General features: G+C 50.0%; 1 long non-coding RNA gene and 2 pseudogenes across 1 annotated transcript, besides 8 other annotated features; 2 read left to right on the forward strand and 1 right to left on the reverse strand.

The window, feature by feature from the left end:
- On the forward strand, positions 41 to 6,205 carry LINC01629 (long intergenic non-protein coding RNA 1629). Its single transcript, NR_133913.1, has 3 exons — positions 41 to 156; positions 2,734 to 3,010; positions 6,018 to 6,205. It is a non-coding gene; the product is annotated as a long intergenic non-protein coding RNA 1629 (long non-coding RNA).
- Positions 1,014 to 1,548: an enhancer, noted in NCBI's record as "H3K27ac-H3K4me1 hESC enhancer chr14:77426954-77427488 (GRCh37/hg19 assembly coordinates)". NCBI's record gives its function as "activates a minimal SCP1, AML or CMV promoter by ChIP-STARR-seq in primed H9 embryonic stem cells {active_cell/tissue: H9 hESC(primed)}" and the evidence as "EXISTENCE:reporter gene assay evidence [ECO:0000049][PMID:30033119]".
- Positions 1,549 to 2,084: an enhancer, noted in NCBI's record as "NANOG-H3K27ac-H3K4me1 hESC enhancer chr14:77427489-77428024 (GRCh37/hg19 assembly coordinates)". NCBI's record gives its function as "activates a minimal SCP1, AML or CMV promoter by ChIP-STARR-seq in primed H9 embryonic stem cells {active_cell/tissue: H9 hESC(primed)}" and the evidence as "EXISTENCE:reporter gene assay evidence [ECO:0000049][PMID:30033119]".
- Positions 1,869 to 2,078: an enhancer, noted in NCBI's record as "active region_8780". NCBI's record gives its function as "activates an Ori minimal core promoter by ATAC-STARR-seq in GM12878 lymphoblastoid cells {active_cell/tissue: GM12878}" and the evidence as "EXISTENCE:reporter gene assay evidence [ECO:0000049][PMID:35858748]".
- Positions 2,129 to 2,178: an enhancer, noted in NCBI's record as "active region_8781". NCBI's record gives its function as "activates an Ori minimal core promoter by ATAC-STARR-seq in GM12878 lymphoblastoid cells {active_cell/tissue: GM12878}" and the evidence as "EXISTENCE:reporter gene assay evidence [ECO:0000049][PMID:35858748]".
- Positions 2,189 to 2,588: an enhancer, noted in NCBI's record as "active region_8782". NCBI's record gives its function as "activates an Ori minimal core promoter by ATAC-STARR-seq in GM12878 lymphoblastoid cells {active_cell/tissue: GM12878}" and the evidence as "EXISTENCE:reporter gene assay evidence [ECO:0000049][PMID:35858748]".
- Positions 2,289 to 2,583: an enhancer, noted in NCBI's record as "tiled region #14350; K562 Activating DNase unmatched - State 1:Tss". NCBI's record gives its function as "activates a minimal TATA promoter and a strong SV40 promoter by Sharpr-MPRA in K562 cells {active_cell/tissue: K562}" and the evidence as "EXISTENCE:reporter gene assay evidence [ECO:0000049][PMID:27701403]".
- On the reverse strand, positions 7,921 to 8,168 carry RN7SL356P (RNA, 7SL, cytoplasmic 356, pseudogene; annotated as a pseudogene).
- Positions 8,958 to 9,586, forward strand: RPLP1P1 (ribosomal protein lateral stalk subunit P1 pseudogene 1; annotated as a pseudogene).
- Positions 9,105 to 9,645: an enhancer, noted in NCBI's record as "OCT4-NANOG-H3K4me1 hESC enhancer chr14:77435045-77435585 (GRCh37/hg19 assembly coordinates)". NCBI's record gives its function as "activates a minimal SCP1, AML or CMV promoter by ChIP-STARR-seq in primed H9 embryonic stem cells {active_cell/tissue: H9 hESC(primed)}" and the evidence as "EXISTENCE:reporter gene assay evidence [ECO:0000049][PMID:30033119]".
- Positions 11,133 to 11,634: an enhancer, noted in NCBI's record as "H3K4me1 hESC enhancer chr14:77437073-77437574 (GRCh37/hg19 assembly coordinates)". NCBI's record gives its function as "activates a minimal SCP1, AML or CMV promoter by ChIP-STARR-seq in naive H9 embryonic stem cells {active_cell/tissue: H9 hESC(naive)}" and the evidence as "EXISTENCE:reporter gene assay evidence [ECO:0000049][PMID:30033119]".

Genomic DNA, 16,899 nt, shown 5'->3' on the forward strand with positions numbered 1-16,899 from the left:
TGCTACCTACAAAAGCCCCCTGACATAGCACTCTTGTCATACTGAGACTAAGGTAGAAAAAGACACTTCCAAAGGGTGTCAATGACAAGAGAGAAATAGACATAGAGTGGTCACTTCATTTACCAACCCTGGAACCGCAGACCTCTGGGCTTCCTGGTATGTGATTTCAGTTTTACCCCTCACTGTTTAAATTGCTTGAGTTATGTATTTTGTTATTGATTTATTTATTTATTTATTTATTTATTTTGAGACAGCGTCTCTCTCTGTCGCCCAGGCTGGAGTGCAGTGGTGCGATCTCGGCTCACTGCAACCTCCGCCTCGCGGGTTCAAGCGATTCTCCTGCCTCGGCCTCTCGAGTAGCTGGGATTACAGGCATGCACCACTACACCTGGCTAATTTTGTACTTTTAGTAGAGATGGGGTTTCGCCATGTTGGTCAGGCTGGTCTCAAACTCCTGACATCAGGTGATCCGCCTGCCTCGGCCTCCCAAAGTACTGGCATTACAGATGTGAGCCGCCTCACCCGGCTTGTATTTTGTTCTTGCAGACGAAAGCTGCCCACCAAATATGAACAGATAGGAACCTCGTGATCTTTTGGGGCTGTCATCCTTCTCTCAGTCTGCCAGTAACTGGGATCCTGGCATTTATCCTGGAGGTCCCTGAAGGTCCAAGAGGGAACAGAGGAAATCTGATTGGCACAGGTGTGGTGACGTGAAGCAGGTGGTGGCTTTTAGGACTGGAGGTCTGGTGTAGGGTGTATTAGTGAGGAGAACATGGAGGGAGGAACTCACCAGGAAAATTGCAGCCAATTTCCAGCGGTCAGGAATTGAAGATCCAGCAGAGTACGGAATCAGCTCCTCCAGAGTAGTGGGTTTTTCCAGTTGTAGGTTGAGATCCATTCGTGGGTCATGAAATCAAGTTAAGGGATCATAGTCATACACAGAATTTTTTTGTTTGTTTGTTTTTGAGACAGTCTCATTCTGTCCAGGCTAGAGTCTCTAGTCTCTGCCCAGGCTAGAGTGCAGTTTCACAGTCTTGGCTCACTGACCTCCACCTCCTGGGTTCAAGTGATTCTCCAGCCTCAGCCTCTCAAGTAGTTGGCGTTACAGGCACCTGCCACCACATCTGGCTAATTTTTTGTATTTTTAGTAGAGACGGGGTTTTGCCATGTTGGCCAGGCTGGTCTCGAACTCCTGGCCTCAAGTGATCCGCATGCCTTGGCCTCCCAGAGTGCTGGAATTACAGGCGTGAGCCACCACGCCCAGCCAGAATTTTTTTTAAAAAAAGGAAATAGAAGAGAATGTAAGAATAGAAGTGCAGGTTAAAAGGAACGTTTAATTTCATAAAGTTTTTGCCTCAGGGTAGTATGCTTGTCTGAGTAATGGGTTGAGATAGGAACGCATTTCTTAGTGCAGGTCTTGATTTCAAATGTTCGAAAGCCACTGCTCTGGAAAATAGAGGAGTGGAGACCAAAGTGTGCCCTTTGTGTATGTGTCGGCAGTGGGGTGGGGGTGGGGGTCTCTGTCCTAGCATTTGGTTGCAGCACCCCAGGAGTGCCTGTAGGGGAACCACTGACCTCCACTTTTCCATACGCTTCACACCTTCACACCGAAATGTGCTCCATTCCCTTTGCTATTTTTTTTTCTTTTCTTTTTTTTTTTTTTAGACAGAGTCTAGCTCTGTCGCCCAGGCTGAAGTGCAGTGGCACGATCTCGGCTCACTACAACCTCTGCCTCCTGGGTTCGAGTGATTCTCCTGTCTCAGCTTCCTGAGTAGCTGAGACTATGCCTGGCTAACTTTTGCAGTTTTAGTAGAGACGGGGTTTCACCATGTTGGCCAGGCTGGTCTCAAACTCCTGACCTTAGGTGACCTGCCCACTTCAGCCTCCCAAAGTGCTGGGATTACAGGCGTGAGCCACCTCACCCAGCCTGCTATTTTCATTAGGAGGAAAAGAGGGATGGTAGCTTTCATCCAGATCCCCCATCTTCAGAATGTTTTCAACTTTCCCCAGAACCTCCACAGCGTTAAGTCAGTCAAAATCCTTGGATGGACCCTTCCAAGTAGCAAGGGCCACCCTGTCCCCTTTCCCCTGGCCATGAGACCACGCAGAGCGCAGGGGCCGGAGTCAGAAAGGGCAGTTTGGCCCCTGGGCAGTCTCCTGAGAGTCTTTCTCCTCCCAGTTTCTACTATTTGGCGGAACCTTGAATGCAGGGGGGCGGGACAGAGAAAAAACTAGAAAGCTCGACTTCTGCCTGCGGGGCCGGAAGCCCCGCTGCGGCCCCAGCCCGCGGTTAGCCCCTGTTTGTCATTTTGCAAATCTGGTCAACCCACCTCCGGTGAAAACTCCCAACCTCACCCCAGGGGGCAATGACTAATTACAAAACACATTTTCTCTCGTTTTCGTCAAGCTCGCTGTCCCGCCCACACATCCCCCGCCTATCCCGGCACCCGTCGGCTTCCTCAGGAGCCTCACTCAACTGTGTTGAATGAACTCTTGGCCTGGTCCCTCCCCCAGAGACTTCACACCGTGGGGTTCTTTCCTCCCTGCTCAGCTTTACTTTCACTTTCTAGTCACTCTCACTTCTCTGTCAGCTTCAGCTTCTCACCCTAGAGCTTGAGCCCTGGTCCTTTCTTAAGGCAGGGGCTATTGCCCAAGTCCTGGGCTGCACCCAATTCGTCAAAAGTCTCGATTCATCAATAGTCAAAAATATTTATCAAATGCATTCTGTTCCAGGCTCTAGGAATGCAGTGCAAGACAGGCAAGGTTCTTGCTCATACAGAGCTTCTAGAAACCTGGGATACAGAGATGCAATCAAGTGATAAAACACATGGATGAAGGCTCTGCCATTGAACACATGGTTCTTGACAAGCCCACAGAGAGGCACAGCTAAGCCAGCCCTGGGGAGCCAGGGAGGGTTCCCTGGAGGGAGAGAAGCTGGATCCAGGTCTGAAAGATGACTTGAAGTCAGCCATGAGCAAGGAAGAGATTTTCCAGGCCAAGCGAACAGCCTGTGAGTGGTGCCATTTGGGTGAGGCTGGCTGGAGCTCACAGGGTGGGAGGGAGTGCAGGGAGCTGGGGTCCCCAAAGGTGGAAAGAAGCCAGACCCAAAAGGACTTTGAAATTCTGCTCAGCCATTTGGATTTTGTCCTGAGGGTGATGGAGATTTGTGAGCCCCAAATATCTGAGACAGGTCCCAGTCCCTTTAGAAAGTTTATTTTTGCCAAGGGTAAGGACAAGCCCATGACACAGCCTTAGGAGGTCCTGAAGACAGGTGCGCAAGGTGGTCAAGGTACAGCTTGCTTTTATACATTTTAGGGAGATATAATACATCAATCAATATATGTAAGATTTACATGGGTTCTGGCCGGGCGCGGTGGCTCATGCCTGTAATCCCAGCACTTTGGGAGGCCAAGGCAGGAGGATCACCTGAGGTCGGGAGTTCAAGACCAGCCTGACCAACATGGAGAAACCATCTCTACTAAAAATACAAAAAAATTAGCTGGGTGTGGTGGTGCATGCCTGTAATCTCAGCTATTCGGGAGGCTGAGGCAGGAGAATCATTTGAACCCGGGAGGCAGAGGTTGCAGTGAGCCAAGATCACGCCATTGCACTCCAGCCTGGGCAACAAGAGCGAAACTCCATCTCAAAGAAAAAAAAAAAAAGATTTACATGGGTTCGATCTGGAAGGACGGGACAACTCGAAGTGGGGGGCTTCCAGGTCATAGTTAGATTTGAACATAAACTGATTGGCAATTGGTTGAAAGAGTTATTGTCAGCAGAAAGGAATCTCTGAGCTATGATAAGGGGTTGTGGAGACCTAGGTTTTATCATGCAGTTGAAGCCTCCAGTAGCAGGCTTTCGAGAGAATGGACTGTAAATGTTTCTTATCAGACATAAGGTTTGTGTTGATGTTGATGTTAGGGGTATAATGAGGCTTGGCTTCCCTTCATGGCCTGAACCAGTCTTTCAGGTTAAATTTTAGACTGCCCTGGCTGAGGAGGAAGTCCATTCAGATGGCTGGTGGCTGGGGGGTGAGGGGTGTGGGGTGTTCCATACACAGCCATGGAAGGGCCTCAAGCCAGAGAGACATAATAAATGGAAGTGGGAGGCAAGACTGGACAAAGAGAGACCCGTCAAGAGTTTGTTACAGGCCGGGTGTGGTGGCTCACACTTGTAATCCCAGAACTTTGGGAGGCCAAGGCAGGCGGATCACGAGGTCAAGAGATCGAGACCATCCTGGCCAACGTGGTGAAACCCCGTCTCTACAAAAATTAGCTGGGCATGGTGGCACGCGCCTATAGTCCCAGCTACTAGGGAGGCTGAGGCAGGAGAATCGCTTGAACCCAGGAGGCAGAGGTTGCAGTTAGCTGAGAGGGTTCCACTGCACTCCAGTCTGGCGACAGAGCCACACTCCGTCTAAAAAAAAAAAGAAAAAAAAAGAGTTTGGTTGTTGCAGTGGGAAGATGTGAATGGACATGAGAGATATATTTAGGAGACAGGATTGTGGATATGGAGGTTAGAGGAAAGGAAGAAGGGAAGGATGACTCCAGGTTTCCTGCACAAACCATGGTCCCCCCTGTTCCCTACAGGAGGAAGAGTTGGAAGAAGAAGAGCGATAGATAGAGAGAGGAGACAACAAGGTCCCTCTGGGACAGGCTGAATTCCAGATGTCTGTGGGACACTAGGCCATTGGCTATGGTGGTCTGAGACCCTAAACAGGGGCCTGGGATAGGGTTTTAGTCTGGTCACCATGTACACACGGAGGCAGGGTATAGAGTGAGAAGATGGGATGATTGAAAGGCCTGGGACACGAGCCAGGGAAACGCAGGATAGAAATGACTGGCAGAGGCTGGGCACGGTGGCTTACGCCTGTAATCCCCACACTTTGGGAGGCCGAGGTGGGTGGATCACTTGAGGCCAGGAGTTCAAGACCAGGCTGGCCAACGTGGAGAAACCCCATCTCTACTAAAATACAAAAAATTAGCGGGTCATGGTGGCATGCACCTGTAATCCCAGCTACTCAGGAGGCTGAGGCAAGAGAATCTCTTGAATCCTGGAGGCAGAGCTTGCAGTGAGCTGATATCACGACACTGCACTCCAACCTGAGCGACAGACCAAGACTCTGTCTCAAAAGAAAAAAAAAAAAAAGAGGTGACTGACAGAGAATGACCCCAGCAAAGGACCAGAGAAGGAGCAGTCCACGGAGGACCACTTGGAGAGGGTGGGTGGGGGGAAACCCAGCTCACAGGAGAAGGTGTGGCCGATGGTGTGGCATGCTGCTGAAAGGCCAGGTAGGTGAGAACAGTGGTGAGCACTGTTTCAGTGGTGGTGGTGGCGGAGGGAGAGTGACAAAAAGCATTTGGTTCTGAGCCTGGGAGTAGCAGGCTGGGGGAGGAGCCTAAGGCTAGGCCGGCTCTCAGGAGCAGTGTGGGCCCCAAATATCCTCTTCTGTGATCTTTTTACCTTTTGGCAAAGTGTTATTTAAATGTATTTAAATCTTTTAAGGAAATATTTCTAATTTTGTGCCAAAATAAAGCACTGTAAATCCTAGCCACTGTTCCTTTGCTTCCCCAGGGGCCGCAGTGACTGTGTCCAGTCCTTCCTCACCCCGCTGCAGAGTCAGTCCAGGAGGCCTTTACCCACAGCACTGCCACCTCCCTCCACGACCCCTGTCTTTCTCTTCCCCAGATTAAACGCTCCCACTTCTCTCCATTCTTCTTTCTCCACCCCCAGGCCCATTTCTGCCTCGGTTGCCTGCCTCCAACCACAATCCAGTTTTTTGGCTCCCAGAGACAGACATGCCCAGATCTGAACACCACCCACCTGGGTATGTTCTGCCAGTGTGCAAGGTGGGGCCCTCCAGGCCCTCTCCTCCCCTCCCTTTTTCTAGATGCCATTTCCTGCTAAAGCCACCTCTCCCATGGCTATAAACTACCTTCAATCAGGGCACGAACTCTAGAGCACAAGAGAACCTGAGATTCTTTAAAACATTCTAGTTTAATGTCCTCGTTTTACAGATAAAGAAAATGGGTACGGCCAAGACCATAGACCTAGTGATTGTCAGATGAACAATTAGACCCACAGAACCATCCAAGCTACAGAGGACGCATTCTGCCTTCCCTTGGATCCTGTGGTTTGAGGATGGAGGTCTAGGACCGTGGCAGGCTTTTTGTCCCATGAGGGAAGGCCATGGAGCTGAGGAAGGGGAAGAACACACACACCTAATGGAATCTCGAGAGAAAGTTCAGACATCAAAAGACAGAAGCGACAGAGACCCAGGTCTGTGGGGACGCTGTATGGCTGAGTCAAGTCTTGATCAAAGTCAGCATTATATCTGGACTTGCACAGTTTCTGAGCCTTGAAACTCCATTTCGTTTAAGTGAGCTTTTAACTGTCACAGGCAGCTGCATGCACACACAAGTCCATGTGATTAGATGTTTCCAAGAGTCTGGAATAACATACCCCAAACTGTTAATAGTGGTTACCCTATAGAAGGGGAGTAGGAAGGTGTGTGTTGGGGTGGAGGATGGTTTGCCAACTGGAAACTCACTCCAGGCTAACATTTATTGCTAGGCACCATTCTAAACTTTGCCAGTAATCCTCTCCCTAGAGGCTGAGGAAGACCACTTCTTCAAGCCCTATTTAATAGACAGCGTGGCCAGGCATGGTTGCTCACGCCTGTAATCCCACCACTTTGGGAGGCCGAGGCAGGTGGATCACCTGAGGTCAGGAGTTCGAGACCAGCCTGGCCAACGTGGTAAAACCTCTTCTCTACTAAAAATACAAAAAAAATTAGCTGGGCTTGGTGGCGGGCACCTGTAGTCCCAGCTACACGGGAGGCTGAGGCAGGAGAATTGCTTGAATCCAGGAGGCAGAGGTTGCAGTAAGCCAAGGTCGCACCACTGCACTCCAGCCTGGGTGACAGAGCGAGACTCTGTCTCAAAAAAAAAAAAAAAAAAAAAAAAAAAGAGGAAAGAAAAATGAAAGAAAGAAAGAAAAATTAGCTGGGTGTGGTGGCGTACGCCTGTAGTCCCAAGTCCCAGCTACTCGGGAGGCTGAGACAGGAGAATCGCTTATCACTGGAGTCCAGGAGGCAGAGAGTGCAGTGATATCTCACCATTGTACTCCAGCCTGGGTGACAGAGAGAGACATAGTCTCAGAAAACGGAAAAAAAAAAAAAGAGAGATGGGGAAATGGAAGATATAGGGGTTACATCACCTGCTCAAAATTATGCTGCAAGTAAGTGGTGACACTGGGATTTGAACTGAGACAGTCTAGCTTCAGGTGGCCGCATCCTTCCCACTGCATTCTCCTGCCTCTCTAGCTCCCTCAGTGGGCTGCTGGGTCCCAGGCCTTGGGCTGGCATGGATAATCCCTTCATGCTCCCCTTGTCACTAAACCCCCCCACCTCACCTGCCAACACACACACAACCACCTGGAGCCCCTGCCAGTGTTTCCTCTTCCTCCCACTTGGCATGTTGAAGACCAGAATCACTCCCCTTTCACTCCCCACTTCATCCCACCTGGGAAAACAGGACCCTGCCGGCCAACTCAGAGCCCCACAGGGTTGCATTTTAGGTACCGTTTACATTTTCTTTAAGCCCTGTTCACATTCTCCATTCACATTGGGAAAAATATAAAGGGTTAGTATCCCCAGCATTGATGAGGTTCTAAGGCAGAGGGTACGCAGGTGGGACTACAGCGCTTTTTGGGGGACATTTGGATAAAATCCATCCCATTGCCGGGCGCAGTGGCTCATGCCTGTAATCCCAGCACTTTGTGAGGCTGAGGTGGGCGGATCGCTTGAGGTCAGGAGTTGGAAACCAGCTGGCCAACGTGACAAAACCCCATCTCTACTAAAAATACAAAAATTAGTTGGGTGTGGTGGCGGGCGCCTGTAATCCCAGCTACTCAGGAGGCTGAGGCATGACAATTGCTTGAACCCGGGAGGCGGAGGTTGCAGTGAACGGAGATTGTGCCACTGCACTCCAGCCTGGGGGATACAGTAAGACTCTCTTTTTTGAGATGCGTTTCTCTCTTTCACCCAGGCTGGAGCGCAGTGGTGCGGATCTTGGCTCACTGCAACCTCAGCCTCCCAGGTTCAAGCAATTCTCATGCCCCAGCCTCCCGAGTAGCTGGGATTACAGGCACATGCCACCATGCCCGGCTAATTTTTGTATGTTTAGTAGAGATGGGGTTTCACCATGTTGTCCATCCTGGTCTCAAACTCCCGACCTCAGGTGATCCACCCGCATCAACCTCCCTAAGTGCTGGAATAATAGGCATGAGCCACCGTGGTCAGCCGAGAATGCACATACTCTCTCCATTCTTCCTCCATGCGTACGCCCATTTCTGCCTTGGTTGCCCACCTCTGACCACAATCCAGAACTAACCACTCCACTTTTAGGAAAGTATCCTACAGAAATAGCTCAACAAGTACACTGGCTACAGCATTCCTGTAAATGGTCAGAGGCCATGGAACTCCAACAGCTGCCAAAAGGAAAAAAGTAGCTCTGGGCCAGGCATGGCGGCTCACACTTGTAATCCCAGAGCTTTGGAAGGCCAAGGCAGGAGAATTGCTTGAGGCTAGGAGTTCGAGACCAGTCTGGGCAACATATTGAGAACCTGTCTGTGCAAAAAAAATTTAAAAATTAGCGAAGTGTGGTGGTGTGTGCCTATAGTCCCAGCTACTTGGGAGGCTGAGGTGGGAGGATCACTTGAGCCCAGGAGTTTGAGGTTACAGCGAGCTGTGATAGCATCACTGCACTCCAGCCTGGGTGACAGAGTGAGACCCTGACTCAAAAACAAAAGTAACTCTGACTTAGGAACAGGCACAGAGGAGATCATGGTACACTGTTGATAAAACAATTTGCAGAATAATTTGTAGAATACGACCCAAGTTTTTTAAAACAATAAAAACAAAACACACAACATAAGCATATAGAAAATTGCCTGAGCTTTCCTCAGCTGCTGCCAAGGTGTTCGGTCCTTCCGAGGAAGCTAAGGACACATTGAGGTGAGGCCCTCACTTCATCCAGTGACTAGCACTGCGTCCGGCAGCGCCAGTCCCACACTCGCCCGCGCCATGGCCTCCATCTCCGAGCTCGCCTGCATCTACTCAGCCCTCATTCTGCACGACAATGAGGTGACTGTCACAGAGTATAAGATCAAGGCCCTCATTAAAGCAGCTGGTGTAAATGTTGAACCTTTTCGGCCTGGCTTGTTTGCAAAGGCCCCGGCCAATGTCAACATTAGGAGCCTCATCTGCAATGTAGGGGCTGGAGGACCTGCTCCAGCAGCTGGTGCTGCACCAGCAGGAGGTGATCCACCCGCATCAACCTCCCTAAGTGCTGGGATAATAGGCATGAGCCACCGTGGTCAGCCAAGAATGCGCATACTCTCTCCATTCTTCCTCCATGCGTACGCCCATTTCTGCCTTGGTTGCCCACCTCCACTGCTGCTGCTCCAGCTGAGGAGAAGAAAATGGAAGCAAAGAAAGAAGAATTTGAGGACTCTGATGATGACATGGGCTTTGGTCTTTCTGACTAAACCTCTTTTATAATATATTCGATCAAAAGCTGAACTTAGTGGTAAAACCATGTCTCTACTAAAAATAAAAAAATTAGCCGGGCATGGTGGCGCATGCCTGTAATCCCAGCTCCTAAAAAAAAAAAAAAAAAAAAAAAAAAAAAAAAAAAAAGCTGAACTTAAAAAGAAAAGGGAAAGAAAGAAAATTGCCTGAAAGGATAAACACCAAAATGGTGAGAAAGGGAAGTAGAATTAGGGAGGACCTGGTGAGTGGGAAAATTTTCATTTATTATCTGCATACGTCAATATTGTTCAAATTTTTACTTTAAGAAGACCTTACTTTTGCCGGGCATGGTGGCTCACGCCTGTAATCCCAGCACTTTGGGAGGCCAAGGTGGGCGGATCACCTGAGGTCAGGAGTTCGAGACCAGCCTGACCAACATGGAGAAACCCTGTCTCTACATTTAAAAAAAAATCTTAAAAAAAAATTCTAAAATGCAACAGATTTTTTTTTTTTTTCCGTCCCGGGTTCATGCCATTCTCCTGCCTCAGCCTCCCGAGTAGCTGGGACTACAGGCACCCGTCACCACACCCAGCTAATTTTTTGTATTTTTAGTAGAGACAGGGTTTCACCATGTTAGCCAGGATGGTCTCGATCTCCTGACGTCGTGATCCACCCACCTCGGCCTCCCAAAGTGCTGGGATTACAGGCATGAGCCAAAGCGATCGGCCAAATGCAACAGATTTTTTTGTTTTGTTTTTGTTTTTGTTTTCAGATGGAGTCTCACCCAGCCTGGAGTACAGTAGTATGATCTGCAACCTTTGCCTCCCAGGTTCAGGCGATTCTCCTGTCTCAGCCTCCGGAGTATCTGGGATTACAGGCACGTGCCACCACGCCCGGCTAATTTTTTGTATTTTTAGTAGAGATGGGTTTCACCGTGTTAGCCAGGATGGTCTCGAACTCCTGACCTCGTGATCTACCCGCCTTGGCCTCCCAAAGTGCTGGGATTACAGGCATGAGCTACCGTGCTCGGCCATGCCTGGCTAATTTATATATACATATATATATATATATATATTTTTTTTTTTTTTTTTTTTTTTTTGAGACAGAGTCTTGCTCTGTCACCCAGGTTGGAGTGCAGTGGCATGATCTCGGCTCACTGCAAGCTCGCCTCCCAGGTTCACGCCATTCTCCTGCCTCAGCCTCCTGAGTAGCTGGGACTACAGGCGCCCGCATGACGCCCGGCTAATTTTTTGTATTTTTAGTAGAGACGGGGTTTCACTGTGTTAGCCAGGATGGTCTCGATCTCCTGACCTCGTGATCTGCCCACCTCAGCCTCCGAAAGTGCTGGGATTACAGACATGAGCCACCGCACCCAGCCTTATATATATATTTTTTATTAGTGAAGAGGTTTCGCCATATTGGCCAGACTGGTCTCGAACTCCTGACCTCAGGTGATCCACCCACCTCGGCCTCCCAAAGTGCTGGGATTACAGGTGGGAGCCACCGCACCCTGCCTAAAATGCAAAAGATTTTGAATGGCGAGAATGGCGACATGATGCCACAAGTGGAAAATTCCACACCTGGCTGCATGTAATGGGTTGAAGTCAAAATGCAGTCAAAAACTTTGTTTCATGTACAAAATTATTAAAAACATTGTATAAAATCACCTTCAGACTATGTGTATGTGAAACCTAAGTGAATTTAATGGCTAGACTTCAGTTGCATTCCCAAGATCTCTCATTATGTATATGCAAATATTTTGAAATTCAACCTGGTTCCACACATTTTAGATAAGGGATACTCAAGCTGTAATTAACAAATAAACTTTTCACAGTCCAAGCAGCCAAAGGCCCACTGTCCCTGTTCCCTCAGCTCACGCCCCCTTCCGTGCACAGCCTTATCTAATCCTTCTACCCTTCGTTGTGTTTGGACTTCAGACTCTTTTTTTTTAAGACAAAGTCCCGCTCTGTTGCCCAGGCTGGAGTGCAGTGGCGCGATCTCAGCTCAACCTCTGCCCCCAGGTTCAAGCAATTCTCATGTCTCAGCCTCCCGAGTAGCTGGGATTACAGACACCCGTCACCACGGCTGGCTAATTTTTGTATTTTTAATGGAGACGGGGTTTCACCATGTTGGCCAGGCTGGTCTCAAACTCCTGACCTCAGGTGATCCGCCCCCATCAGCCTCCCAGGGTTTTGGGATTACAGGCGTGAGCCACTGCGTTCGGTCTGGACTTCAGATTCTTGAGCTGGCTGCAAGACTCCAGGTCCCCTGTGAACCACACTCAATAATCCCTCCCTAATCGCTGGTCCCCAGCAGCTCAGATTGGCTGCTGTTTGTCCAGTGAGGAGGTGGGCAAGGGTGCCCTTGGTTTATGCCCATGATAAAAAGAAAAGCAGCTATGGTGCAGTAGATGCTCAGAACTCCAGCGCGCATCAGCCTCTAGAGAGGGGCCTGGCCTCTGCTTGAACAGTGTATTTCTTTCTCTCCTTCCTGGACATACTGCAATCAAAGCATTTTCTAAGAGTCGGGTGGGACTCCACAGATGGTCTTGTCCAATAGCCTCACTTTGCAGGTGAGAACAATGCATCCAGGCCAAGCGTTTTTTCATTTTACTGCCCGCTACTCTCCAAGTGCAGTCTCTTAACAGTTTCTGAGTCTGAATGCAACTCTTGTTAACTGCTCAGTAAAGGAATTCTGTCAGGAAAGCTGCAGTTTACATCAGTGGTTCTCAGCCTTGATGACACATTGAAATCATCTGGGGAGATTTACAAGCTACTGACACCTGGGTCCTGCTCCTAGCGGTTCTGATTTATTTTTGTTTGTTTGTTTGTTTTTGGAGTTTCACTCTTGTTGCCCAGGCTGGAGTGCAATGGTGCCATCTCGGCTCACTGCAACCTCCGCTTCCCGGGTTCAAGCGATTCTCTTGCCTCAGCCTCCTGAGTAGCTGGGATTACAGGCGCCCACCACCATGCCTGGCTAAGTTTTTGTATTTTTAGTAGAGACAGGGTTTCACCATGTTGGCCTGGCTGGCCAGGCCAGTCTCGAACTCCTGAACTCAGGTGATCCACCCGCCTGAGCTTCCCAAAGTGCTAGGATTACAGGCATGAGCCACCGCACCAAGGCTACTGATTTATTTTAATTAGGGTGCAGCATGAGCACTGGGATTTTTTTACTCCCCAGGTATTCCCAATATGCAGCCATAATTGAGAACCACTAGTCAATATGGAGTGTGTGTGTGTGTGTGTGTGTGTGTGTGTGTGTGTGTGTGTACATTTCTAGGTATGGGTGATATTTGCATGCAGCACGTATCTGTGCACATAGACACATACACACACGGAAATCTGGACTTCCCAATACACAGAGTAATACATGCTGAGGTCACCAGCAAAGCAGGACAATAAAGAAAGTGAGAAAAAATTTTGAGAGCCAGACACGGTGGCTCATGCCTGTAATCCCAGCTTTCAGGGAGGCAGAGGCAGGAAGATAGCTTGATCCCAGGAGTTCAAGATCTACCTGGGCGATATAGCGAGACCCCGTTCTCCACAAAAAGGAAAAAAAAACAAAGAAAAAGTTTTTAGAACATGATATTTAAGAAACAAAAAAGTCATCATGGAGAAAATAACATTTTTTTTTTTTTTTTGAGACAGAGTCTCACTCTGTTGCCCAGGCTGGAGTGCAGTGACGCGATCTCGGCTCACTGCAACCTCTGCCTCCCGGGTTCAAGTGATTCTCCTGCTTCAGCCTCTCGAGTAGCTGGGATTACAGGCACGTGCCACCATGCCTAGCTAATTTTTGTATTTTCAGTAGATGGGGTTTCACCATGTTGGCTGGGCTGATCTCGAACTGCTGACCTCAAGTGATCTGCCTGCCTCACCCTCCCAAATGTTGGGATTACAGGTGTGAGCCACTGTGCCCGGCTAAAAATCACATTCTTTATTGGGCTTTTTATTTTATTTATTATTTTGTTTATTTTATTTATTTATTTTTTTTGAGACGGAGTCTCACTCTGTCTCCCAGGCTGGAGTCCAATGGCACCGTATCAGCTCACTACAGCCTCTATCTCCTGGGTTCAAGCAATTCTCCTGCCTCAGCCTCCCAAGTAGCTGGGATTACAGGTGCCCACCACCACGCCCGGCTAATTTTTATACTTTTAGTAGAGACGGGGTTTCACTATATTGGCCAGGCTGGTCTTGGACTCCTGACCTCAGGTGATCCACCCGCCTCGGCCTCCCAAAGTGCTGGAATTACAGGCGTGAGACACCATGCCCAGCCTGGGCTTTTTATTTTTTGATATGGTTTTTCTTGCATTACATTTGAGGGGAGGGGCTCCATAATTTTTTCCAGGCGGGGCCCTGATCATCTGGCCCTGCACATCTACAGGAAGGGCTCTTTTTTTTTTTTTTTTTTTTGAGACGGAGTCTCACTCTGTCGCCCAGGCTGGAGTGCAGTGGCGTGATCTCGGCTCACTGCAAGCTCCGCCTCCCGGGTTCAGGCAATTCTCCTGCCTCAGCCTCCCAAGTAGCTGGGATTACAGACACCCGCCCTACACCTGGCTAATTTTTTTTTTTTTTTTTTGTATTTTTGGTAGAGACAGGGTTTCACCATGTTGGTCAGGCTGGTCTTGAACTCTTGACCTCAGGTGATCCACCCCCGCCCCGCCCCCCCAGCCTCCCAAAGTGCTGGGATTACAGGCGTGAGCCACTGTTCCTGGCCTAGGAAGGGCTCTTTGCCTAGAATCTTGCTGCAGGTTTTCTGGCTGCAGCTTCTGAAGGAGGGATGGGGCAACGCGTCGCCTGGTTCCCACAGGTGAAAGGCTTCAGCAGCTGGAGCCCTAGCACTGGACTGCAGTCAGAGGGGTTCAAGAGAGCTGCCGAGATCCCAGTCCTTCAGGAGCTCTAGGCCAGCTGTAGGTGGCCTCAGGTACCTGGGGCTCTGGCTTTGGGGTGAGGTGTGCACATCCACGGCATGTACTATGGGCCTGCCTGAAGCAGAATGAGAGTGGATCAACTTCAAAGTCATTTCCGAATCCAAATTTAATGAATCAAGTATACAAAATGAGGCTGGGCGCAGTGGCTAACACCTGTAATCCCAGCACTTTGGGAGGCCAAGGCAGGTGGATCACCTGAGGTCAGGAGTTCAAGACCAGCCTGGCCAACATGGTGAAACCCCGTCTCCACTAAAAATATAAAAACTAGCTGGGCGCAGTTGTGGACGCCTGTAATTCCAGCTACTCAGGAGGCTGAGGCAGAAGAATTGCTTGAACCCAGGAGATGGAGGTTGCAGTGAGCTGACACAGTGCCACTGCACTCCAGCCTCGGTGACAGAGTGAGACTCTGTCTCAAAAAAAAAAATAGTGAATCAAAAGGAAATACTCGTGGAAGCCCTATGAGGAATTGATTGGTTGGTTTTGATCTGGGCAATCAGGGAAGGCTTCCTGGAGGAGATGAAATTTGAACAGTGCCCTGAAAGATAAGGAAGACTAAAGAGGGAAAGGAGAGAAATAAGCTGGGGCTGCTCTATGTCTATTCTCTTCCACCTTCTCCTCCTTGAACTCAGGCTCTGCCCCAGATCCCTCTGCAGCCTTCAGGGAACAAAGGGCTGTAGGAGTGGCCTGAGGAGCAAGCAGAGGGTCCCTGCCTCTCACTGCCCCACCTGAGTGAAATCAGCCCCACAGCTGGTCCACCTCTGAACCTGTTGGGCCCACCCCTCTGTATGTCACAGCTCCAGGTCATCCAGGGGGAAATGCCCACGGGCCTTTTCCTCAGGGGTCAAGCTCTCAATCTGTAATTGTCTCAGAAAGACCCGGAGAGCTTTAAAATATCCAGAGTCCACGTCCCGCCCCTGCACCTCCAGAGGGAGACCATCCTGGGGCAGGGCCTTGCTCAGTGAAAGCTCCAACAGGGACGCTGATGGGCTTGATGGGCCAAGACTGAGAACCACCAGCCAGGGCTAAAATCAGGGGAGAGAGAGAGGGAGGCAAGAAGGAATGGGGAGGGACGGCTTCCCCAGGGGTAAATGCCCAGAGGCTCGGGGACAAGTGGAAAGTGAGGCCTCGGGGAGCTCCATAGAGAGCAAATGTTCAGAACAGCTGCTCGATTCTGCTCTATTCCCCGGTGTGGAAGACTGGGACCAGGGACAACTGTTCACCACCAAGCAAGGCAGGAAGCCACAAAAGGCCCCCAGAGAGGGCCTCCACTCCCCTCAAGTTGATGCCTCCATGAGGGCAAACACTACGTCATCTGCTCACTGTTCTCCCTGGAGCCTGGCACATAGTAGGTGCTCGATAAATACCCGTTGAATGAAAGGACTGAATGAGCTTTTCCTCTCTTATAACTCTTATGGTTTTCTTTTTCTTTTTTTTTTGAAACGGAGTCTCACTCTGTCGCCAGACTGGAGTGCAGTGGCGCGATCTTGGCTCACTGCAACCTCCGCCTCCCAGGTTCAAGCGATTCTCCTGACTTAGCCTTCCGAGTAGTTGGGACTATAGGTGCACGCCACAATGCCCAGCTAATTTTTTTTTTTTGTACTTTTAGTAGAAATGGGGTTTCACCATGTTGGCCAGGATGGTCTCGATCTCTTGACCTCGTGACCCACCCGCCTCGGCCTCCCAAAGTGCTGGGATTACAGGTGTGAGCCACCGCGCCCGGCCGCCTGGACACTCTTATGGTTTTCTCAGTCTGTGGGTTTCTTATACAAAACAGTGGTGCTGAGAACTTTGAGTAGGGAGGAAGCCAAATGTTTAGTTTGGGTTCCCTCTCTCATCTTCCCTCCAACTCTACTTCCTAAGGATTTTGGAATCTGGATATATGGGCTGGGGGAGCAAGGGTTGTTGTAGCCAGCTGCCCACAGCCGTCCTTCCAAATCAGAAAGCTGGAGAGGGAGGGAGTGGGGTGGGGAGAGAAGCAAGCAGAGAAGGGAGGAGTGTGCAGGAGCACACAGTGGCTGAAAGGTACATGATCTGCCCAGAGAGCAAGCGGTAGGCTGGGGAAGCCACCTGCACGGTTACCGCATTCCCAGGAATCTTCTCTCCAGAGCCTTGGTGGAGAGGCCCAAGGCACTGCCCTTCTGTGTACTACACCCAGGCAGGACCCTAGATACATCCACTCAGGCCTGGAAATGCTTCCCCCAGAGAAGGCAGGAGGATAGGGCCGTGCTGGTGTCAGCCTCAGGGGCCTGACATTCCCACCTGATCTCCAGTCTCCAGCCCAGCCCTGCCCCTCCCACCTCCCACACACACCAGCAACCACTCAGGCCAAACACTCGTGGTGCCCCAGGGGATGGGGACAACTCCAGATGAGAGAGCGGCCCTTCCAGCTGCACACCTCAAGGAAAGCTAGTGTGGAGAAGGACTTGAGCTGATAGCCTCT

This window comes from Homo sapiens, chromosome 14 (genome assembly GCF_000001405.40).
Source record: "Homo sapiens chromosome 14, GRCh38.p14 Primary Assembly".
Taxonomy (NCBI): Eukaryota; Metazoa; Chordata; class Mammalia; order Primates; family Hominidae; genus Homo; species Homo sapiens.